This window comes from Homo sapiens, chromosome X, assembly GCF_000001405.40.
Source record: "Homo sapiens chromosome X, GRCh38.p14 Primary Assembly".
NCBI lineage: Eukaryota > Metazoa > Chordata > Mammalia > Primates > Hominidae > Homo > Homo sapiens.
The window spans coordinates 31,639,062-31,665,930 of record NC_000023.11 but is presented as its reverse complement, the minus strand read 5'-3'; the positions used below and the strand labels follow the sequence as shown (position 1 = coordinate 31,665,930).

At 36.2% G+C, this 26,869-nt stretch overlaps 1 protein-coding gene across 20 annotated transcripts in view; it reads left to right on the top strand.

Moving 5' to 3' along the window:
• The window catches only part of DMD (dystrophin), a 2,220,167-nt gene that overhangs the window by 1,673,458 nt on the left and 519,840 nt on the right, over positions 1–26,869 (top strand). For all 20 annotated transcript variants that reach the window (XM_006724469.4, NM_000109.4, XM_011545467.2 and 17 more), the window contains 1 exon segment: positions 7,787–7,941. In XM_006724469.4, the coding sequence (XP_006724532.1) occupies positions 7,787–7,941 (155 nt within the window).

Sequence of the window (26,869 nt, the reverse complement as noted above, 5' to 3'; positions counted from 1 at the left end):
GTAACGAAGCACTTGGAGACCTCTCCTCCCTTCTTTTTGTATGAAACTTATTCCAAAGCAGCTGGAAGAGAAATGGGGCCTGAAAGTAAAGAGGGGAAAAATATATTGTATGCCATTAGTTTAATTATAAAAATTCATTACATGAAGCCATGTAAGACAGAAAATAATGGAACTCTAATGGGTTGGCCGATAACACATTTACTAGTCTGCTCTCAGCTTGTAGTCATTGTTGAAAGGACAGAAAAGTAACGACGTTGGTATGTAGTCTTCAAAGCTATTGTAAAGATTAATCATTTTCAGTAAGCCGGAAAATGAGGGCCATTTTCTTAAATAGTATGCCCTGTATAGAGTGTTACCTTCTGAAACAGAGTTGTTTGGTAATGTCAGAGGTTTAATAGATGAGTCTTGAAGTTAATGGTGAGAGGCTTTACTTTTGAAATGGCTTTCTTACAGCTATTTTAACATTTCTATTATAAATCCATAAAGAGGTTTTATAGGTCGTTTTAATTCACACAAGGAGGGAAGAAATTGTGCTTCTCTTTTCCCAATAAGGATTTATAGAACATTAATTCATTCTTGGGACCAAATTGTTTAGTGATTTTCAAAAATAAACTATGTATTTTTCTGCTGTCTTTTTTTCAGAAATGCCTTACTTTATTATACATAATAATTTTCCAGTCATGCTATAATCATCAAGATTGTTTTATATTCTTCAAAGCTCAGTTAAAATAAACCCAGTCCTTTTCCTTAAATTTCTTTATATGGATGCATAACTTCTTTAACTGAATTGAAATGAAACCTGAATTGAGAGTCCAGAAACCTGCATTTTTATGATGACTCTTTCACTGACTAGCTATGTCACCTTGAACAAGTCACTTAACCTTTCAGAGCATTTATATTCTCATGTGGACAATTATGGAATTGCTCAAAAAGGAAGAAGATATCAAAAGATGAAAGTGAATATGTAGGTAGGGGTCATATATTCGAGGGCCTTGTAATCCAAAGAGAGAGGTTAGGACTTTGTCTTGCAGGTAATAGCAAACCATTGAAAGGTTTTACACAGAGGAGAAATGAGGTTCTATTTGCATTACAAAAAGATCATTTACGCAGTTGTATGTAGGTGGAAGGGTGGTTTGAGAGTGGAGGGAGGGAGCCAATAAAAAAGATTATTTTAGTACCTGAGCAAGAGATGATAGGGACGTAAATTAAGGTAGTGTCAATGGAAGTAGAAGATTTGGATAAAAGTTAAAAAAAAAAAAAAAAAAACTTATGATACAACTACCCAGGGAGTATGTTCCCTGCCTCCTGCTCCAGTTGAGGACCAACATATCAGATTGATCCAGAGACAGAATTTTGGAGAACATTAATATTTAAAGGACAGGCAAAAAAAAAAAAAAAAAAGCTTGAACACTCAGAGAATACAGAGGCGACCAAAAGAGTGGAAGCCAAGAAAGCAGAGAACTTCGAGAAGAGAATAGTCAGCAGCACCAGTTGCTGCAAATAAATCAAGTAAATAAGAACTTAAATCTTTCCATAGGCATTGGCTTTTGGTAACTGAATCAGTTAACTATTTTCACAAATGTGAGTGGCATATAGCAATAAGCCCATATTGCCTTTCATGAATTTTCAGCTTGGGTGGGGTGGCACTTCTTCATGTTGCAGGTTGATTGGGGTCGCTCTGCTCCATATGTCACTCATTCTCCTCCTGAGATGAGTAGGCTAGTCCAGAGCATGTTTGTCTTAAGGTAATGGTGAAGTGCAAAAGGGATAGCCACACTGCATAAATACATTTCAAGCCTCTGCTTGTGTTACTTCTAGTAATATCCCACTGGGATTAGGCAAAGCAAGGCGCATGACCAAGCTCAATGTCAAGGGCATGCTGTCTTTCGTAGGAAGAATTTCAGAGTTACTTAGCAAAGGGCATGGATACAGGGAGAGGTAAAGAATTGGGGCCAGTAATTCAATTTGCCATAGTGACTTCTGTCAGAATAGTTTTAGTGGAACGATGATGGCAGAAGCCTGATTTTCATGAATTGGAGAGTGGCACGAATGTAGTCAAGTTGAGATAATGAGTGAATATCTGCCTTCTAAAGAGTGTGACTGTGAAAGGAAAGAAAATGATAGAGTGCAGATTATTGTTGTTGTTGTTGTTTAAAGATGAGAGAGACACTCATGTTTGAAGTCTCTAGAGAAGGTCCCCGCAGAGAGGCAAGAAGTTGGAACACACAAAGAGAGAGGGAGTATGTGGAGGAGGATCCCAGAATAGATGGGTGCCCAGATGGTGAAATCAACTTCCAATAGCAGAAAAGTCGCCTCTTCCTCTGAGACTAGAGAGAAGGATGCAAGATGTAAAGTCTGATATTTCATGAAATGTATGTTTGATATATTAAATTTCCCCCTGTGGAATTGTAGGTAGGATCATTTACTGTGAGATTTCTTTCAGTTCGTGTTGTCAGGAATTAGTCTGTAAACCACATTCGATATTTCAAACAGAGGAAATTCAATACAGAGGACTGGCTCCTCCATAGGAATGAAGGAGCTGACAAACCCAACAGAGGACAGTGAGGCAACCCAGAGTTTAGCAACTTCAGGAAACTATTACCACCTCAAGGGCTGGGGAACCGACAAGTTTTACCAAAGCCCAGAAACCAGAACCATCGGGTGCTAATTCACCCAATGTAAGGTCTGCACAGCAGGTAATGGAATTACAGAGGGAGCAGCCGTCCAGTGGGAAACGGAGACAAAGGAGATACTGCCAAGACAGAGAGAGAAGGGGGATAATTATCTTGTTTCACCCTTTCTCATGCTCTTCTGTCTCCCACTAGTGTGTCTCATGACTTAACCTAGTTAGAAGCCAGCTAGCAAGAAATCCCAGGAAATTCTGACCTCCTATGGGAGTTAGTACATCTCAATACTGAGTGGAGTAGGAAATGGGTAGAGAATGGATCTAAGAGCAAACGACCTCTTGGTGGTTAGCTAACAGAGTTAAATTTTTCCATGAATCCCTTGGTTCATGAATGTAAATACAGGATCCAAGGAAAAATAACAAATCCAACATGTAGAACTTTTTGTTCATAAGCATATTAGGATCCTGTTTTACAATTTTCCGAGCAATTGCTTGATTTTGACACTTCAGGACAAGCCGGAGGCATGGTCAGAGCAAGTAACCCCATCCTAGTTTACAGATGACAAAACTGGGACTTACAAGGTTAATGACTTCCTTAAGATCAAACTGCAGAACAATGGACAAGCAAAACTTCCTGGGAAGATGTCCTTTCGTTACTCTGCACTGCCTTTCTTGAAGTTCCTTTGAGACACAGTCATTAAAAATTTAAGTAATAGTTCACCCGGAACAAACATTTATTTTACTTGTAGGTGAATATCACAAAACACATTTTAAAAGGAAATTTAACCAATATTCAACCTTAAAATTTTAATGATAGAGCTATGCACTTGCTTTTATCTTCCAAGTTAAAGGGAGAATTTTAGAGTTGCAGCATTTCTAGACAATGTCCATAAAACAGCGAGCTACTTGCTTTGCATTCAGAAGGGGCTCACACTGTGGGGAATATAGTTTGACTCATTAAAATTAGTAGTAGATGTGCTAGCAGTAGTAATGATGATGATGATGCTGATGCTGATGATGATTAATATTTATTTAATCCTTCGGGCACGCCAGGCACCTTTGTAAATGTTCTCCCTGAATTCTCTAAGTTAACCCACCTAATCATATTTCCACATAAATACTGTTAATATTCCCATTTAGCAAAGGAGGAAACTGAGGCACAGAAAAGATAATTAACTCTCCCATTTGCCACTAAGCGATCACGCCAGGATTCAAACCCAGCAGGCTCATTGTATTGCTCAGGCTTTTAGCTACTCTTTCTCTTCCTCCTCTCTTTTCTACCATGTAGGGTCAATATCACTAAAATAAGTTCTTACACATAAAAGAAATGAGAGAAGACAAACAATTAAAGTAGAAAAAAATACTCAAAATTCTTGAAATTAATTCAGGTTGTCTCATAGTCCACAATCACTTTTTCTACCTAAGATACTGTGAATATATATCAAGCACATAGTGCAGTAGCAGCATAATGGGTTTGAATGTGAAACATTTCTTTCCTGGTTGGGGAAACAATCTTTTGGGGATTTAGCATTTTATATTCTTCATAGAAAACACACACACATACACACACACACACATACACACACACACATATACAAAGGCAATCTTTTTTTATAAGCTAGTGCTCACAGTATTTTAAATTTCTTCACACACCATGATCACCACACAAGCAATTCCCTGTGGTGTACACCATTGTCAATGGAATTCAGAAAGAGAAAAGGGTGTGTGTGAAGTCTGTTGTATTTTTGAATTTACACTCCTTCTGAGGTCTGGAGTTATCCCAGTAGTAAATTTCACAGCAGTAGGCAAAGCTGGTCAAGGTCATGGTTCCTAGTGTGAATGACACTTGGGTAAAACCCAAGGTGGGCGGGCAGAATATTACCGTAGGAGAAAGGGAAAACATTCTGTGTGGGGAATGTCTTTAAGAAGGGAGAAAAAAAAAAAAGGCTACCTTTGAGAACCTTTGTGTTTATATAAGGGCCTGAGCCCCCTCAATGTCAGTCAAGGTCAGTGGGAGTTTTACTTTTTAATCCTACATCCTCACAAAACCTGGGCAGTATTCAGTGAGGGTTAGCACTCAGTCAAGATTTCCTTAGGTATAACAGTCCTAACTTTCGCTGTGAATACAATTTTGCAGAAAAATATATGGCACGCGTATTTCTACCTTTCAAGCATTAAAGTACATCAAAAAGTTCTGGTTTGACGTCAAGCCTCACTCTTTACTACCTTGTTTAGTAGGAAATCTGTCATTTAACTCTAGCTTACTATTTCTTTCAGAGATTTTGGAAAATTCTAGGATATGTTATAATTTATAATTTTAGGCATTTTTATGATCTATTGATTATGTTTTTAGATTCATTGGCACCTTCTGCATTTTATGTTTTTTAATTTTAACAGCTTTATTGAAGTGTAATTGATATACAAAAACTGCATAAAATTATATGGGCTAGAACATGTGCATATACCCATGAAACCATCCAAATGGTATAACCTCTTATATCTAGACTTTTCAAACAGGAACCTATGAGTGATGGGTGGCTTCCAAGGTTATTTAACTTGCTTGAGTAAAATAAATGATTTTAATTATATATTTACTAAAAATTTTGTTTTTATTTTGTATTCCTGAGCTTTTACATATATGCTCTGATACTGGTCCATCATAAGTATTTTATTAACAATTCAGTGTTTTATAAAAGGAATTCATTTGAAAAAAAGGTAACCAAGTTATTGGTCTCAGTTTTGTGGATGTTCATGCTATTAATTAGCAATTTAATAGATGAGAGATAATAAGCTCTTCTTTTAAAATGCAAATAGCACCCTCTGGATACTAAGGGCCAATTACATGTTCTTTCGTATCTTGGAATACATTTCTTTTATCACTTTAGGTTTGGCTTAAGTGAGGAGGAGAAAGAAAGAAGTGGTAATTTTGTACCCTAGGATATTTCTAGAAAAGGCAAGCCTTTGGCAGAAGTTCCCTCAGAAGGGCTTTCAAATAGTGCGAGGATCTGAAAAGTGGAGAATAGAAACTGTAATGCTTGATAAAAGGAGTATGGAAGAAAAGGCAGGCATTCCACGCGGATAAATGTTAATTGTTTTGTAATAGCAGCAACTATGCTCTGTGCCTTTAGACACTGTCCTCTGCTTTCATAGCAAAAGTCAGTGATATTGGCATTAGCTTCTTGATAATAGTTTGGTAATCTGGGTCTATTTGCTATATGCAGTAAATACTATTACTTGGTTTGATTCTAGGATGTTTTAGTTAACTGAGAAATTACATTATATATAGATTGTATATGTTCAATAGGAGTTCACCAAACACGCTGAAATTATGCTAAGAACACTGTTTGATTTTTATTCTGTAAATATCATACTAACGCAAAAGAACAAATATTAAAACAAAAATGATTTTTCTCCTCAGAAGCATTATTTTCAATTTCTTCCATTTCGTGTTCAGCTCATGATTATGTATTCTTAGAGATAAACACAGTGTAGTTAAAAATTGTGTTCTGTTTTTTACACAAGAAAATTGTGCTCTTTTTACAGTGATTACTGTGCACATTTGCTACATATTGGACCATTGGAATGATGTATTATGTTCTTTTAATGTCCCTGCATTAAACATCGACATTGTTTCTCTTTTTTTTTTTTTTTTTTTTTTTTTTTTTCCGAGATGGAGTCTCACTCTGTCGCCCAGGCTGGAGTGCAGTGGCGTGATCTTGGCTCACTGCAACTTCCATCTCCTGGGTTCAAGCAATTCTCTGCCTCAGCCTCCCGAGTAGCTGGGATTACAGGAGCCTACCAGCACACCCGGCTAATTTTTATATTTTTAGTAGAGACGGTGTTTCACCATCTTGGCCAGACTGGTCTTGAACTCCTGACCTCGTGATCCACCCGCCTTGGCCTCCCTAAGTGCTGGGATTACAGGCATGAGCCACCGCACCCGGCCTGTTTCTCATTTTTTTACTGCTTTGGTTAATGAAGATTTTAAGTCATATAGTATATTGATCTTCTTTTGAAGATTTTATCAGGATAAAGTACCAAAAGTGAGATTATTGAGTCAATGGGAATAAGCATTTGTATGTCACTTGGTATCTATTGCCAAATTGTCCTAATAGATAACGGTCCCCAGCAGTAATACGTGAATGTGCTAGTTTTACTGGTCTTTTCAGCTTTGGATTTTATTTTTTGTTAATTTAATTGGTGTCCAATTGTACCTTTTCAATTTAATACTCTATTTTTTATTACTTGAAAGTTAACTTTTTTCTTTTTAAATAAAATCATCCCACTCTTTCTCTTGTTTGAACTACCTGTTCCTATTCCTGTGTCCATTTATCAATGACTTAACCCATCCTATTGAATTTGATATAACTATCTTAACAATTAGTATTATCTTAATGCTTAGAAGCCTCCTCTCTGCACTTGCAGAAATGTTTAATAGAAATTTCAGGTTGATATGCTTCGAGATAAAACCTACCATTAATTGACTTCTTTCTTTGAAATATGTTTCAAGTGATGAGATAGCAAGTTTGAAAACACTGAATTGCCAAAGACAAACAACGAAGAAAATGTAGGTGATTTGGTTTAGTAAGATTCTTATATTTTGACTTTTTTTCTAATTTTAAAGTAAGGTATTCTAAAAGTATTTTGATCCTTCAAAAAATTCGTGACTAGAATAACAGTACTATTCTTTTGTTGTTCAATATTTTCTGTATGCAGGTTTAGTTGAACGCCAGTAGATGGCACTAATTACATAAACAATTCAACAAGTTAATGAAGAGGGAAAGAAATGTATGAGGTTTTTTTCGTTCAAATGTTGTTATATGTCACATATTCAACAATTATATATGAGCTTATTTTTGTAGTTTTTTTCTCTTGTGATAAAAACAATTAAGCCCACTTTATTGCCAATTAATTGCTACTAAGTTGAAATACTTGATACTGGTTATTGCTCAAGATGCTGCATTTGAAAAGTTTGTCCTGAAAGGTGGGTTACCTTATACTGTCATGATTGACTAAATCATATGGTAGGTTAAAAGCAATCTAATATATGTATTCTGACCTGAGGATTCAGAAGCTGTTTACGAAGTATTTTAAGACACTCCAACTAGAGATTTCATAAAAAAAACTGACATTCATTCTCTTTCTCATAAAAATCTATAGCAGTTGGCCAAAGACCTCCGCCAGTGGCAGACAAATGTAGATGTGGCAAATGACTTGGCCCTGAAACTTCTCCGGGATTATTCTGCAGATGATACCAGAAAAGTCCACATGATAACAGAGAATATCAATGCCTCTTGGAGAAGCATTCATAAAAGGTATGAATTACATTATTTCTAAAACTACTGTTGGCTGTAATAATGGGGTGGTGAAACTGGATGGACCATGAGGATTTGTTTTTCCAATCCAGCTAAACTGGAGCTTGGGAGGGTTCAAGACGATAAATACCAACTAAACTCACGGACTTGGCTCAGACTTCTATTTTAAAAACGAGGAACATAAGATCTCATTTGCCCGCTGTCACAAAAGTAGTGACATAACCAAGAGATTAAACAAAAAGCAAAATACTGATTTATAGCTAGAAGAGCCATTTATCAGTCTACTTTGATAACTCTATCCAAAGGAATATCTTTCTATCTCATCATGGCGCACACTGCCTTACCTGTTATCTGATAAATAAGTCACTTTGGGATTCATGATAGAGTTATAGCTGTACATGGTCTCATCCTAGTATCTCACTCCACACACCCAATGGGAAAATTTGTGGAGGGCAATATGACTCGTCACTTCATTTCCCATTATATATGAATGGAAATTAACAGCGCTTATAGACAGTATCTCCTCAAACTAAGCCTTGTATCCTTATTATACCTCTCTTGATCTCTAGTGCTTTTTTCACTAGCATTTATTCCAATCATAAATAAAAATATAAATTATGTAACTAATTGTTAAATATTTGTCCTTTAAATTAATCTAAATGCCATGAGGGCAGAGATTTTGTCTTTCTCATTTGATACATCCCCAGGTCCTGAACCACGTGATATAATAGGGAGCTAGTAAATGTTTTTTGAATGATGACTCCCTTTGCAGAATGTACAATTACCTTGTGCAAGCTGAAAAAATAGCACCTGTACAATATGAGGAAGACCACGGTGAAAAATAATTGAGTTCCAAAATATGACATCAATTACTGAAAAAATAAGCTCGGTGATTTTTAACAAGAAGTAAAAGTCACCACTGGGGCCAAAACAGATTTTGAACTAAGAGTAGGAAGTCTTAGGAGAAATGAGATAATGATATATGGAAATTAAGCGGCCAACTAAATTTTGAAACTGAGCTAGACATTAGAGAGTAAAAACTCCTGTGAAGCTGAATTTAAGCTGGTCACCCTGGGGAATAGAGCAACTCTAATCCTGAATTCCAGACAGTAGGTGTATAGATGGAAAAGACCATGGAAAAGAAGATTCAACCTAAAGTTGGGAAGTTTTAATTGGAGCCCTATGAAAAAGACCCTGGTGGAGAAAGGGCAAACTTGAATATGGAGCTGATATTTGGAAAAATTCTCATAGTAACTACTTTTTCTCAATGGCAAGGCTTGGACTTTCTTCTCAAAATACAGATCTTATATGTGTTCAATTAAACAGGGACAGATTAGGTTCAGGAAGAATTATTCACATGGAATCAATTGGTATCAGAGAGTCAACCATTAGATCTTAGTGGGAAATATCTGCTTCTCAAAGAGAAGTCTTTTGGGGAAAGCAAATTAAAGTCAGAGATTAATTTGATGAGTTTAGGTAATATAAACTAAGGGGCCAAGAAAAAAGCTTGCTCATGGTATGAAACTAGAGCTTGAGGACACTGATCTAGTCTATCTATACTACTCTTTCTGACAGACCCCTCTCTTCATTCTCATGCTCCTTGATGGCCCAAGCCACTCTCTCAGTTTTTTAAAAAATTGTTTTATCAAGGTCTCTGGATTCTTCATGGGAATGACTTCCAGTTTATATTTTTTGGCTTGGTTCCAAAAAGCTATCAGCTAAGGAATGCATATACTTACTTCCCCTATGGGTAAAGTAAATGAGAATTTTAGAAGCCAACTCACATTTTTAGCCTGTACAGAATCTGCAATTCACCAAGCTACTTCTGACTCATGTCTATAAAGTTCTTCCCTGTTCTTTTCTCACTTCACATGTACTCTTTGCAAGAATTCATCCACTTGTGTAGTTTCAGTCTGTTGATGACTACCCATCTATAATTCCAGCTGAGAATGATCTTTTGAGTTTTAGACATGTAGATCCTGCTGCTTTCTTTCGATGTTAATGTCCCACAGGAACTTCACATTGAAGAGGTCCAAAGCTAAACTCATCTTTGCCTTCTTCCAATCTCTTTCTCCAAATGCAACCTACTTCTGTTGTCCTTGTCTTAGTCCTTTTCGTGCTTCCGTAACAAAATACCACAGACTGGGTAATTTATAATGAACAGGGATTTGTTGGCTCATAGTTCTGGAGGCTGCGAAGTCCAAGATCAAGGGGCTGGAATCTGGTAAGGGCCTTCTTGTTGTGTCATGATTCCATGATGGAAGGTGGAAGACCAAAAGAGAGAAAAAATGGGGCCAAACTTGTCCTTATATGAAACTCACTCCCACAATAATGATGCTAATCCGTTCATGAAGGCAGAGCCTTCATGTCCTAATCACCTCTTCAAGGTCACATTTACTACTGTTGCAATGGCAATTAAATTTTACCATAAGTTTGGGAAGGGAAAAACATTAAACCATAGCATTCTGCCCCCTTTTCCCCAAAATTCTTGTTCTTCTCAAAGACAAAATACATTCATTTCATCCCCAAAGCCCCAAAAATCTTATTTCAGCATAAACTCAAAAGTGCAATCTAATATAAATTAGATATGGGTGAGACTCAAGGCACAATTCATCGTGAGGCAAATTCCCTTCCATCTCTGAGCCTGCAAAATCGAATCAAGTTCATCCCCTCACCCCCTACCCTTCCCAGCATCAGGTAACCACCAATCACAGAAAGTTTTACTGATAGTCCTGCTCTAGATCATCTTTGTCTATGTTCACTTTAGCTATTTATCCTAGTGTTCCATTATTGGAATACTAAGCATGTGGGAATTATTTATATTCTACTGTTCAAGGTCCTCACCAAGGTCTGATTGCAAAAATTCAAAAAATTGCAACCTTAGGCATAAATGGGTTAAGCAGTTTAGGGTACATTTATAATAATTATTTACTGTGCTACTTCAAAAATCTTATTGCCTCTATTTATAAATAAAAAGTGTTGTCTCTACACAGTGGCTTGTTGTAATGCATTTACTTGTTTCTGCCTGATTTTTTCTATTTATACATTTTCTTTTTTATTTTTATTTTTATTTTTTCACTTTTAAGTTCAGGGGTACATGTGCAGGTTTGTTACATAGGTAAACTTGTGTCATGGGGGTCTGTTGTACAGATTATTTCATCACCTAGGTATTAATCCTGGTACCCGTTAGTTGACTTTCCTGATCCTCTCGCTCCTCCCACCCTCCACACTCTAATAGTCCCTAGCATGTGTTGTTCCCCTCTACGTGTCCATGTGTTCTCATCATTTAGCTCCCACTTATAAATGAGAACATGGGGTATTTGGTTTTTTGTTCCTGTATTAGTTTGATAAGGACAATGGCCTCCAGATCCATCTATGTCCCTGCAAAGGACATGATCTCATTCTTTTTTTATGGCTACGTAGTATTCCATGGTATTTGTGTTGGTCTCAAAAACTACAACTATGACAGGATGGCATTTTCACTTTTGTTGTTATATTAAACTCATCTTAAAAAGGAAAGATTAATAATGTCAATATTTGGGTTATGGAGAAAAAGTATCTCATATCTTTGAAAAAGTTCTGTAACTATAGCTTTTTAGGTAGGAGGGATTCTGTGGAAAGTTTTCTGATTACATCATTTCTCACAGTTCAGGTTAGACACCATTTTACTATGAAACACTAATGCATTGCCTGCACTGAGACTTTCAGTCACATGGAGAAACCTAGGCAAAATTTTTGTACACTTGGAAGAATATTTAAATTAGTAATAAAATCTTTAGTTTTAAACTGTTGAATGTTAAATAAGATATAAAATGTACTTGAAAGAAATTTGCTTTGATATCAGACACTGCCATGTTGCAGTTTCAAGACATAATAAAAAAGTAAACTAATGTTTATATTTTGCTGTTTAAGTTTATTAATACATCAGATGAGTCTTCAAATTCTACAGTGGCTTTTGATATGATCATTTTTACTTGCCATTTTATATAGAATAAATATAAATAGGCATTTATGCTTAAAAGGAACTAATCTATCTATGGAAAAAAGAGAAGGCTGCTTCTCAACTAAATTGTACAGTTTAGAAACCCAGATCTGAACATAGATTATTGTTGTGACCTATGTAGGAAAATATGTTGTTTTCCTTATCGTAGTCCTTACAGAGTCCATGATAACATATAAAGCCAGAAATGTGAGCCTCTGCAAGTTCATTTCTTTGTCTTCAATCTCTGTGAATAGATATGAGTTTGTGAATAAGATAATATTAGATGTGATATTACAAATTATTGTGAGAAGCCTCTAAGGATTAGATTTCAAGGACTGCCATCTGGCTGATGACTTTATGATGACACTGTCATGAGATTTCATTTCCTTATTTCTGTTCCAGGATCACTCTTTAAACAAGAAATAAGCATTAACTCTGAATTGTCTGCTTGTAGCTGTATGAGGGCTTCCACAACTGCCAACTAGCCAGGTACAAACTCATCAAGCAGAGGAGATGGTCCTTGCATCAGAGGGTTAAACATGCCTAGAAGTTCCTTAGCTAAGCTCCCAGATACTAAAAAATCCCTCTAGGTTCTAAGAAAGATTCAGCATGTACATGTGTGTACATGTATGTGTGTACATATATACATATACGTGTATATGCATATGCATGCATATACATACAAACACATTTTCTTCCATAACATCTCAGTATTCTCTGTTCTTTATAATACTGTTTTGTATTTTAATGATCAAAATTAATAGTTGATCATCTGAAAACATTTTGACCTGTTTTCTCCGTCTTTGACAACCTTGAAGGCACTTGTAAGTCACTCTTTGCTTCTCTATTCCTAGGTCCTTTCTCATCTTCATTGCAACAAGAAAAGAGAAAACAATTGAGCCCTATTTTGTGTGTAGCAAGGAGCTACTCTAGTTAAACACTAGATCTCTTTTACATTCTCCAACATGTTGTTTTAGTAATTATTCTACTTTCCTTTTTTTGGGATATTCAATTTCTTCTTTCTTTTTGCTCCTCCCCTTTAGCAGGCCAACATACTCAAGTCTCCCTCATCCTAAGAGAACTTTTTTAGTATATCATTTTTTTTCTATCCAGCTGTACTTGCTTCTGCTTACTATATCATTTTTAAGCAGTAGTTGGCATTACTGTTTCCTGTTCTTTAGCTACTAGTTGTACTTTGACCCACTCCAGTCTCACTTCCCCAGCACCACCACTTTATGAAAACAAGGACTTACTAAGATCATCAGTGACTTTGTAATAGCTAATTAGTGTATTTTAATTCGTCCATCTTCTTGACTATATTTTAACATTGATCCTGTTGGTCAACTCTGCTAATCAAAACTTTATCCTCCTTGGTTCCCAGAACAATATTATCTTGAATATCTCATTTCTCTAATCATATAATAATTGTGAGGTGCTTGGCACAATGCCTAGTGCGTAGTAAGAACTCAGTAAAATATCATCTGCCATCGACACCATAAAAATTAATTTACTTACTCAACAAATACTTTTGTATGAAGTTTGTGCTAGGTAGGCCCAGTAATTGGTACTTGGTATAGAGCAATGAAAAGCCCTACCCTCATAAAGCTTATATTCTTGGAAGCAGAAGTTGGAAGACAGACATTGACAAATAAAAATTAAATACATGATGTGTCAGATGGTCATACACACAGTGTGGAAGAACAAAGAGGAAAACAAGTGGAGAGAGAGAGGGAGGTGGAAGAGGAGTGCTGCCATGAAAATGTGGTAATCAAAAAAGGTCTTACTGAAAAGGTGGCATTTAAGCAAATTCTAAAAGACCTGAGGATGTGGGCCATATGTATAATTGGGGGGGAAAAAGTAGTCCAGGAGAGTCCTAATAAGTTAAAATGCCCCAAAGCAGGAATATTCTTGGCATGTTGAAGGAACCTTAAAAGGGAGATCAGTTAGGCAGAAAAGGATCAAGCGAGCAGGAAGGTAGTTGACAATAAATTTAGAGGGGTAACTGGCATCTGATTATATTGGCCTTTTAGGCCTGTGGACTTTAGCTTTTAATCTGAATGAGATGGGAGTTATTGGAGGGTTTTGAATGGAGGAGTGACATGTTTTGTCTTATCTGGCTCCTCTGTTACAATAGACTAAACAGAAGTAGTGAGACCATTAGGAAACTGTTGTCATAATTCAGTCAAGAGATGACTGTGGCTGGGATCAGAATGGGAGAGGTGAATGTGGTGAGGAGTGGTTGGATTCTACTATATTTTGGGTACAGAGCACAACAGATTTTATAATGGAATAAATTTAGGTGTGAGAGAAAGAGTCAAGAAGACTCAAGAATTTTTAGCCTGAGCAACGGAAAGATGGGGTCATCATTTACTGAGATGGGGAAGGCTCCAGGAGTAACATATTTTGGGAGGAAGATGTGGATATGTTACATTTGAAATGCCTATTATACATCTAGGAGATGTGTGGAGTAGATAGCTGGATATATGAATCTTAAGTTATGGGGAGTAGCTCAAGATACAAAGTTGGGAGTTGTAACAATGATCAGTGCAAGTTCTCTGTCTTCAATGCAATTTTAAATGTTGATGTTCCATTCTTAATTGTCTCTCTTCTTTCTCTCTGCACATTTTGAGTAGCTTTGTCTGTTGGCTTCAGTTAACATTAAGACTCCTCAGTGTCAACTTCCATCTTACACTCTTCTCCTGATCTCCAGAACTGTACTTTCTGCCACCTAACCTACATTACCACCTGGATATGCTACAGGCTGCAAAATGTGTCAAGTAGAATGCATTATCTTGCCCCTAAAAGAAAGTTAAATTTTCTGTGTTTTCAGTGTAGTGTAATTGTCTAACTTAATTGTCTCTAAAACTGGAAACCTAAGAATTACCTTCTACCTTTCTCTTGATCTCTCTTTCCCAATCTACTGACACATGTATTAAACTGGCTTCCAAATTCTGTGAATTCTACTTCAAAAATTGCTCTAGAAACAATTCCCTCTCTTTATCCCTATTGTCACCTCATCCTAAAGCCTCTTCATCCTTTGTAGATTTCTGGGAGATTGTAACCAACTTTTCTCTATTCTGCCAGTTATCAAGTCTTTACGCTCATTTGACATTCACAACAGCCTTGGATCTGTCTTCCTTGAAATGAATCTTCTTGCTTCCCTTTGATTCCAGTGCTTTTTTTTTACCCTCCTGAGACTTGATGCATGATATTTACATGTATGACATGTTTCCAAAAGCATTCTCAAATTTTTCTGAAAGTAAAAACAAATGAAAAAGTAAAACATTTTCCTGGGAAGAAAAGCAAATAGTGTTATACATTTTTGCTTGTTCATTTGTTTGTTTATTTAGGAGAGGGACAAGCATTAGAACTTCATAAGAGTCTTATATGCTGTATCTACAAATACCGTCCCTTGGCAATATAATTTTAGAGTTCCTTTTCTGGAACTACTTAAGGACTGTTTTATGATCCTCAGCAGACTGTTATATTATTTTATAGCCATACCTTTTATTTGCTGAGTAATTGTACTCAATAATTGTTTGTAATTGAATGAAACAATTCATCAGATGTTGGGCACTGAATGGCTTTGGATTATTTCCAAAAATTTAAAGGATAAAGATTTGCTGCCTTCAAAGCTATGTACAAAAATATGATAGAATGCTAGCGGGATATTTGTTTAAAATACAACCTTTATTACATTGGGGCCTGCTCATAATATATATGTGGCACATTTTATTTAAAATATTAAAGTTCCTGGTGGGACATGTCCCCATAATCCCAGCACTTTGGGAGGCCGAGGTGGGGGTGGGAGGATCACTAGAGGCCAAGAGTTTGAGACCAGCCTGGGCAACATAGTGAGATACCATTTCTACAAAACATAAAAAAAAAAAAAAAAAAGCCAAGTTTGTAGTCCCAGCTACTTGGGAAGCTGAGGCAAGAGGATTTCTTGAACCTAGGAGTTCAGTTCAAGGCTGCAGTGAGCTATGATCATGCCAGTGTACTCCAGCCTGGGTGACGTAGTGAGACTCCATCTCTTAAAATTAAATTAAATTTAAAGCTACAAATGACCCCAAAGCCACCAGTTCAACCCTCTCAATTTTGAATACCCTATTTTAAATTCCTCTTATGCGAAATGTACCTTGTAGTCCATTTTAAGGACTGAGAGGATTTGGTATGTTAAAAAATTCAATCCATTATCAACTCCTTTAGGTACACTTAGCAGTATGAAAATGTGTCTTTCGGCTCTTCAGGAGAGAGTCATATGTATAGTTACAAGACAATCCCATTTTTATATTGCTGAGACCCAAATCTTCCCAACTGATTATGAAGCATAAGAACTCTTCGGAGGTTTAAGTGAGCTGAGATTGTGCCACTGCACTACAGCCTGGGCGACAGAGCAAGACTTTGTCTCAAAAAAAAAAAAAAATTCTCTGCATTCTACAGTAGGGTAATATAACATCTATGATGTGAAATCTTGGGGCTCCGGGCCAGAGAGTGTCATGATCCATATGGATCTAAAAGGTTCATAGTGGTAACAGCCTGCTTCATTTTATGTCATCTCCTTTCAAGTAATTAGAATGTTTCTAGCTTGCAGGGATTGCACACAAAGGGAGACATTTGGAACCATGTCATTGGTGATTTACTGGTGTGGAAAATTACCTGGTGATGTAGCCAAGTAGCCATTTTCATTCTAACCCAGTCCTACAGTCCTGAACTGGGCTGAACCAACGCACCAAAATATATGCTTAGAAATGCTCCTATGTATCAGTTTTCCCAGGAAAAACAATAGTATTATCGAAAACTTACCATTGTTTCCTAATAAAAAATTATAGGATACCAACAGACTGTTTTTTGTTCATAAATTTAATATTACAGTATCAAATATTAAAGCAAATGGGAGAAAGTTTTTCTTATTTGGTTTAATTGAACCATTAATGTTAGCTACAATACCCATCATGTTACTTTTCAATTATATTTATATTTTCATTTTATTTCTATCTGTATCATTCTCAGAAAGACTTCTTTAAAACATTCAATAAAAATAGAATTTAGGTAGATTTATTTTTAGAAAGTTGAGTTTTTTTAATAAATGAATATAATCATCACTTGACTTAATTTTTTTCTGCACAATTCTAGAAATCTTATAGTTTTGGGATCCTTTGGCTTTATTCAGTATGTAACAGGGATCTGTTTCCTTTCTCTAAATCATTAATTCAAATGATTTCTTATATTAAAAATGTTTGGACATATAGGTATTAATGAGTTTTATGAAATCTAATCTTTCCAATTTCCCCCTAAAAAGGGATGTCATTTAATCAGTTCTAGGTTGTGATCAATAGCAGATTTTTTTTTTTTTTTTTTTTTTTTTTTTTTTTTTTTTTTTTTTTTTTGCAGCTCCCTTTCACCCCGTAGGGAAACCTGATATCATCCTTGACTAATTGCAGCAAAGAGCCTGGCTCAGGTCCTTTGTCTTATACCGAGTGTTTATAGATTCTTGAGCCCAGCAGAATCTGAACTCCTGGCTACTGCTACCTACTTCCCAGCCCAGGCCCCAAAAGCCCTATGTCTGCAGCCCCGTGCACCACTGTGTGTTTTTGTGGCATTTCTGAAACACAGAGCTACTTAACTTGTTTCTAAGCCCAGATTGTGCCTTTTTGATTTTCTATTTTGGTATTTTATCTACCATTTTTCTGTGTTTGGATGTTTCTTCTATATTTTGAAATAACTTCTTTCCTTTAGTACAAGTGATTCTTATTGTAGAAACTATCAAAAATTTACAAATAAAGAATCATTCTCAACATTCTTAGCAATTCCTTCTATCATATTTTTGCAAATATATTTTTGCCTATTTTTATTTTACTTACTCCCTGTTTATTAACAGTTAAAAGCATTTTCAGATAGTTTTATTTTTTCATTTAAAAAAATCTTACCACATTTTTATTAGGAAGGAAATGGACAGGTGTTTATCTTTTCAATAAAAAACATGGGGGAAATAATTTCTTGAAGTACATAGTGACATTCTTCCAGCCAATGTTTTATGCTGTGGTCATTCCGTCTGTCATCAGTATTCATAGAAAGAGATGAAAATTATTTAAATTAACTAGGAAATCAATTCCCCATTCAAAGCAGTAGTTGTGTGTTTCAAATATCTTCTAATAGTCAGTTTCACACTTAGCTTTATCAAATTCCTAATTATGATACTCATTACATCACTCTGTGTCCAGTCAGTGTGTTTATGCCACAGAGCAATTAAAGCAAATCAGGTGAACCAAATTCAATCACCTTTGTAGATAATAACCTACGTTGCTTAAACTTATGGCCGCTCATACAATTACTGATGGATTGCCTTTTTCTTTTATATTGCCAGTATTTTAAATGTCCTAGTGAAGTTGGGGTAGCTGTTGAACTTCAACTTTATCACAACCTCTTTTTTAAAATGTGTAAACGAAAAAACCCTCCATGAAATGACCAAATACAGTTTTCATGCTGGGACAAATTAGATGAATAATAATCATAAATTCATAATGATTATTTATGATTTTATGTTTTTATAGTGAGATATGTTTTGTTGAAATGTGTTATATAAGTGATACTTAAGTTTCCTATTAAAATAGAAATGCTAAAATGGCATTGTTCTCTTTAGCTGTGAGTCTAGCTTTTGACCTCTGCTTAAACGGAACTGTTGTTCCATCCCAAATCTGCAACTCTGAGGCCTATGCTCCCTTCACTGCTGTCTAATGGATACCTATCAATTTGGAAGGAGGTTTCAGGCAGCTATTCCCGGTAATCTAATCTCAGCTCTGTCCTTTTCAATATTTTCATCAGTGGCTTGGATGAAGACATAGATAACATTCTTATCAAATCAATGCCACAAAGCAGGGAGAAATAGCAAATATAGCAGACAAGAGTATCAGGAGCCAAAAAGTTTTCAACAAGTTGGACTGGTAGGCTGAATACTGAAAGATGTAATGTAAATGCAAGGTGCTACATGTGGGTTCAAAAGAAACATGAAACAAAAAACCCATCTAACTTAGACTGGGCTCCCTGGAAATAGACTAAGATAGAGAGTTGTGTGCATAAGGTTTGTTGAGGAGTGTTCCCATGAGATACATGTGTAAGGTTGTAAGATAGGCAAGATTGCACAGACGAAGAAGTGCAGTGAAGCCTGCAGTGCGTTGCGGCCTCATCAGATTTTCAGGGGAGTTCTGGAAATTGCATGGCCCTTTAGAGACACGCTGAATTGAAGCAAGGGATCTGGACCTTTGAACCCAATACTAGAGAGTTAATGGTCCTGGGTCACCCCATGGGAAAGAGCAGACTGGAGTAAGATTGTTACCTACAGCTGAAGGCAATTTCCAGGGAGGGAGGCAGCTGTGAGCTGTTAGTAGTCAATATTCCAACCAGCTAGGGCATGAGGTCTTGGCAGAGCAACAGTGTACCCAAGACCGCAGTGTTACCCAAAGTATGGTCCTCTGACTGGCAGCATTGGTATCACCTATGAGCTCACTAGAAATTTAAATTTGTAGGTCCTACCCCATCCAACTAAATCAGAATCTCTGGGGATGGGACTTGGGGAACTTTTAACAAGCTTTCAGGCCTCCAAGTTATTTCTATGCATATTAAAATTTGAGAACCACTGCCTACACCAACCAAAAACATTCCAAATATGGAGATAACATAGAGTTTTTAGCAACAATAATCTCCTTCTGTTTCACTTCTCTCTTTACACACACACACACACACACACACACACAACACACAACACACAATGTGATAGAACAGTGGGAAAGGAAAGCCAAAGGGGATCTTAGGCCGAATAAATTTAAGCATATAACCTAGTCCTAAGAACGTATATTTCAGCTTAATAGAGAGAGGAATATTGTTATAAAGCTGTCCAAAGATGGAACAGGCTGCCTTGTAAAGTTGTAGAAGTATTCAGGAACAGGTTGGTGATACCTTGGTGGTTGTATGGTATAACATCCTGATCTTCACATACTCATCATCTAGAGTGGGAGTTTTCTTTTTCCAAATGGGGTTTTGGCAGAACTAGTTCCACTGTATCTTAATAAGTAATAACTCAAGAAAGGGTTCTATGGATGAAAAAATGATTAGGTAATATCAAGTTAAATCAAAGCGAACAGACTTCTTTCCCATAGGAGTAATCAGACCCTTATTACAGTGCATGCTTGGTGAATCAACAAAGTATGTGTATTTATGAAAGTATGGGGGGAAGGGATAATCTATACAGTATGCATCCCTTCTAAAAGTTTGACCATGAAAACAATTTCTCAAGAATCTTATACAACACTACAGTATCTGGTCCAATACTATGCATAGAACATGCACTCAGTAAGTGTTTGTAAGATAGATAGCATAGCATATAGGCCAGGCCACTGAAGGGAAATCATCTCACCGTGAGTTACCTGAATAGTATTCTCTAGTGCCATTAGCTCAATTCTTCACGTAGGCATAAGCCTATACATTTGCCATGCTAACCAAGGGAATTTGTGTTACGTGAATTTTGACTCTATTCAGACATTTTTTTCTATGACTCCTCCAAGGCTGTTATTCTTACCTCATATTCTGGTAGAAGTTTAAGGACTTTTTTCTGGGAATATTGATTAATTAGCTAGCTAGCTAGAGACAGAGAGAGGATAGAGATTGATTCTCTGGCAGAGCCTATTTGAATCATATTGAATCTTTTTTTTTCCTGAGACTTCCCACAAGGAGGATGGAGGAGAAATTTTTTAGAAATCCACCGAAGTAATCAGGGATATCTTCAGTAAAAGAAGCTATACTTAATAAAGTCTCTATTTTAGCAGATGGCAATCAACAATAGAGGCAATAGACAATAGAGTCTATTAAAATTGCTGGGATCTGCTAATAACGTTTTTCTTTTCCCTGAAACAAATGCCATTAACCCTCCTTGACACTCTGTCTTCATCAACATTCTAATAGAATGGAAGTAACTCATAATTTTGAGGATTTTTTTCCCACACAAAACCTATAAACCACACCACGCTAGTGATTACTTTTAGCCTAGTTGCTAGGTTGCTGCTGGTAACAGTAAAACTTATCCTGACAGGTAGGCAATTCCAGAAGCCCAGCCAAGCACTTGGTGTGTGTGAGTAAACCCCCATACACTTCTCATGTAGAGTAACCCTGGCCAACCCATAACTCTTAGCAACTATTCCTGGTGGACGGACCTGGTCTACTCTAAGAAGAGGCCAAGGTTCTTTAATAGTGCAGTTGCAAGAACCAGAATTGAAAGTCAAAGTTCTAGCAAGATTTTGCAGACTCCTTGGCAAACCAGTGGCTTGGGACTCATTCTTGACTTCAAGCCCTTAATTGATAATGGTAGGACAGCTTGCTTGCGCTGGGTTCTGCTCCCTGGGATATGCACTGTTTGCCAAATGAGTAGCAGGTGGACAGACATCTTTACAATTTGCTGTCCCATATTCTAAATGAACGTGACATTCTATAGGTCTGAGTTAACCTATGAAGTCACCAATTTCAATATCAAAATATTTATGACAGAGAAAAGGATACTGAGGCACAGAGAGTCTGTGACTTTCCTAAGCTCAAAACACCAGTTTGTGTTAATTCTGACACAGAAATTCTTGTATTTGCTATCAGTCTCCTTTTTCTGTGTGTGTGTGTGTTTTTACATTGCAGCATCACCTATATGATGTTAGGTTCTGTAACTTTTTGAGAATTTTCTCACATACAGTGATGTGTTACTTTTTGATATTTCAAATAGTTCTAGTAAGTCTTTTCTACTTTTATTAGCGTATTAACATACTGGCTCTAAGAGGGCATCTCACCACATCTTTGCCATTCTTCCTGGAAAGGCAAGTTTCTCTCCATCTTCTTTTTTGTATTCCAAAGTTTTGCCAAAGTTTGCTTTTGAAAATGGGTTACCTGGCAGAGCTTTATTATTCTAACTTTGAAAGTACAAGTCAGAATCAGACAGTGGCAGTTATATATGCACTACTGTGATTACTATATAATGAAAGTATCTATGGTGAAAATACTGATACTGACATATATTTGCCATTTTCTAATTAAGTGCTTCAGTAAAAATTAAGCACTCACTCTTTGCCAGATACTGCAATAGATATTGAGCACATTGAACAAAATTCTCCATATACATATATATGAGTCCACATTCTATGAAAGTATAATGTTTTTCTGAGAAAAGGCATAATATTCTATTAATATCAGCTTTTGCTTCTTCCACCATATATTGAAAGAATTCTGAATACTGTTATAATTTAATGGGAGAATCTAGAGAATTCTGTATTTGCTTTCACTGCATTGATGAACTAAGATTTTTAAAAAATGTATTCTTCATAGAACTACTTTTCCATATTTACCTAATATTATTCTTATATCATTTGAGCACATATTTCACTAACAAAACAAATGTGCAATGTTATTAGTTCTAACATCAAAATTACACTGATACTTTAATTTTTATCCTATTATTTTTCATGCAGATTAAAATAATTATAGCTACATCACATGTTGCAAGTTTTAAGAGCTACTTTAAAAATATATGCTTCAGGAAAGACATGATTAGATGGGGAAATGGATGATGTTCATATTTTCAAATGAAAAGTTTTAAAAAAGTGCCTATCACAAACACTAAATTTTTACATAAATTATCAACTACTAATATATCTACAAGAAATACCATTTTTCCCTACAAAAACTCTTAACAATAATTGTTAAACTTAGTCCTGGAACCTGCTAATATAATCGGACAAATGTTGTCAATAAGAAGGTGAAAAAGAAAGCATATATAGTTTATCAAACTATAAAATATAGTTTATCAAAACCAATTTTTCCTATTGACATTTATTCAGGAAGGAAAATGGATGAGTGAAATGAACAATGGTCTCTAAGAGAGGTGGGAGATAGCAATAAATTCAGACCACGTTTCCTGTCATTACAGCAGGGAAGTAAAAGAGCTACAGTCAACTCTCGAAAGTACTTGGGGGAACTAATGATTCCCTGTAGACCTGTGATGTTTTTGAAATTTAATTCAACAATTTGATATACACCGCAAAGCGAACAGATAGTCAGATCAAAATCGGAAGAACGATTGTCTGAATGGCATCCATTTTTCCTAGATGTGCTGTCCCATCCTGTGTCAATTAAACTTTCAGGTGATCTTCAAACATATTTCCAAGTAAAAGGTATTGCAGTTATCCTATAAACTGGCCTCTTCCCCAGCACTGCTTTTGCTGTGGTCAACTTTATTTCTTTGGGCTCACAAAACTGATAGAGCAAAATAAGGAAAACGGAACATTGGATTAAAATAAATTAATTCCCATTCTGTGACTCACTAAAAAAAAAATGATAACTATGCTTCTGTGAGCATTAATAAGGAAATGAATAAGGAAATGACCAAATTGTTCAGTGGACAACTTGTATGGGATTTTTAAGTATTGTGTCATCATCAATGTTGTCAATTAGCATATACTTTGAAATCAACTAAAGCAAATCAGTTGACTAATCATTAAGGGTCTTTTTAAATGACAACATCTAAACAGCAAATGTTTTATTTTGGAAAATCATGACAGCACAAGAATGAGCCAGATGTTTTACAACATGATATCCATAATTTAAAGTATGTAGTAGTCACTCAAAGGATTTCTATTTCAGTTTCCTTATGATTTGGCTAAGCTAGAATTTGGAAAAACACTTTAAGGTAATGTGAGAAACAGCAAAATTCAACATGTGGATTTTTTCACTAAAGCTTATTTCTGATTATTTTTTACAAACTTTACTAGGTATATGTTAACTTCATGACACTTATAGCAGTGGACCGTAGTTTTAATAAAATGTGAATGTATACTCTTTTCTCAATAATATTAAAGAATGTTGACTTTCGTGAGGATATTTTTATTTTTCTCAACATTAAGAACTGTCAAAGATTTAATTCTACAACAGAAGACGTGAATTTTGTTTTCTAAAGGAGAACAGAATCTATAGAAGAAGTGTTGCTCATAGTACTCAGATTGTTGACCAATCTTAAAGGAGAAACCGTCAATTAATTTACCGAGAAGTAATAACATTATCTTTTTCTTCAATTATGCACATCCACAAAGATTTGGGGCAAAATCCACTTAAATGATATTATACATAATAGATGAGTATTCATATGTTGTAAGAGTCCTGGCTTCTTTCCTGCAAAATGATTAAAACTTGGATCAGAAACCAATTAAAAATCCATTCTAATTCCCAAATGTATGTAACTGTACTATAAGAAAAATAAATATTTCTTCTTGAGGGATATCCATTAGTTAAGGATATTCATAACATGGTGTCTTGTAGGAAATGTTAATCTTTGGGTGAATAGGGATGTTTGGGAATAACAAGACTCAAAGAGATGTTGCACTTACTCACTTTTCTCTGAGTTGTTATTTCTGTCATTTCCCCAGTGCGCCTGTCCTCAACTTTGCCTCTCTCCTTATTCCTTTTTTTTTTTTTTTTTTTTTGAGACGGAGTCTCGCTCTCTTGCCCAGGCTGTAGTGCAGTGGTGCGATCTTGGCTCACTGCAACCTCTCCCTCCTGGGTTCAAGCAATTCTCTGTCTCAGCCTCCCGAGTGGCTGGGATTACAGGCACCCACCACCACGCCCTGCTAATTTTTTTTGTATTTTTAGTAGAGACAGGGTTTCACCATCTTGGCCAGGCTGGTCTTGAACTCCTGACCTCGTGATCCACCCACCTTGGCCTCCCAAAGTGCTGGGATTACAGGCGTGAGCCACCATGGCCGATCCCTCCTTATTTCTTTTTATCTCTACCTCTGCCTCAATGGTATTTCTCTATTACTGTTAGCATTTGCTTTCTGTGAGCTCTTGCACACTGTCAGCTTATATACATGTTCCTGTTCACATGTTTTCCTGTCCCCAGTGGTTACAACATGTCTTCTATCTCAGCCCACTCTAGAATTGTCTTACTTTTCCAGGTCTCCTGCTCCTCAGTATTTTTCCCACTTTTCTAGATTCATGTTTTCCCATCTGCATATTTCTCTTCCATGTCTGCACTGTCATCCGCTTAGAAGACAGCGCATAAGGACACTGTTATCTGAGCAAATCTTCAGCACAGCCACCATGAAGCATGGTTACCTTGTCACTTTCCATTTTTCCCATAGTGTGTGCAAACTGCCCTGATCTGCATAGAAAGGTATCATAATTGAGGAAACAAAATGCACAAAAATGTCCTTGGTTATTCCACCCCTCAGAAATATAGGAGAGAAGTAATTTACAGAATTACACAGAATAACGCTATGTCACATGGACATGGAGTTATCGGGTTAGCATATAATTGGAAAATATTTCCTAGGACCTTGACATTTACTCACTTTTTGTTTTCAAATTACATGTCCCTATCTATTAGTTGCAAATTATTTTAATGCACCGTTTACCAAAGAAAGGCTGTTTCTTCTGAAAGCTTTCATTTGACAAGTAACTTGTAAAAATATTCACATTGTGTATCTGTTTTCCCCTTCTAGTCCAAACTCTAGTTATCTTAAACTTTGCGCAGTTATAAAAAATCATAACAAAAAAAGCTTCCTCGTTGTCATTCTTGTCAAAACAGGTTTACCAGACTTAGGTAAACTTAAAATAGTTAGTGTAAAAGTTAAAAAGCTGATTTGCTCCTTCCAGCGTGTTTGTTGCCTTTTTGCCACAGCAAAATTGTAAATGTAAACGTATTCCCTAGGAGATGAGCTGGGCTGCAATTTTCAGCTAATTGGGAGAAGCAGCCCTGAGTTGAGCACTGTCAGGCTGATTTGAGTCTTAAGATATGATGATGATTATTGTGTCAAATGTAATCAAGAACGTGGGCTCTGAACTGACTCAAGGGCTGGCTGTTTTTAATTCAGGTTCGTATATGAAGTAGACCTCCGGTTCACCGATAGTCACAGCTGGTTGTAGAAGAGAGCAATTTTTAAAATGCTATTTCATTCTCTATGGAGCTCTAGGGATCAGAGATTGGATGCACAGGGAGGGGACACATCCTCATTCTCTCCTGAAAAATTCTATTAATTTTCAGTATAATAAACTTTCTCTTGAGATTCCCCAGTGGCTCTGTATCGGTGGTTTTCAAACTTCTCAGACCCAATGCCACCCCTCTTTTCTTTTTTAAATAACAAATACTTTGTAATACCTTCTTTACGATTATAAGCCAAAATATGTAGACAACATACCCTACTTATACAGGCAATAGTTTAAATGATGCCGTAACTCTATTTTAAAGAGAAATAAGAGTCATTTATAATAAAATAATATGTGTTGTAGTATGCAGTTATTCAGGCAGGATCACACTGGAACACAAGTGAAGTTTTTAGATCACGAGACTATCAATGCAGTATAAACAAATGCAGAATGACACCATTGTGTTGTATGGAGACTCAAATACCATGAGGGGCATTGGTCATCCATAGCGTAATTTTCCAAAATGCTGAACAACTCTTGGCAAAATTCCTAACACCATGAAATAAATTTTTTCTTGGATCGTTATGGCAGTTAGTTGCATGGCTGAAAAATTCAATGTCTTAAAATCATGAGGAAAATATCTTATGTTTACGTGTAAAATTGAGTTACGTTCCAGGTTTAGGTGTTTATAAACAGGGTTTCCACATACATGCATGTCCAGTGGGATATTCCAAAGTGCTGTCAGACTTGGGAGAGTTCTTTGTTGTATAAGAAGTCTACCATCTTCATTCCCTCTCCACAGAATGCTATTATAGTAACACTCTTCAATCACTGTGATAGTCAAATGTCCTCCCTCAATTTCTAGGATGCCTCTTTTTTTTGTGGTCTGTATAATTTGGTTAAATATCTTTCCAGACAAATACTGATTTGTGAATTAATGAAATAGCAGTATTTTCGGAGCACCTAACCTATTTCTGAGTGATACAGTTGCCATTTTTA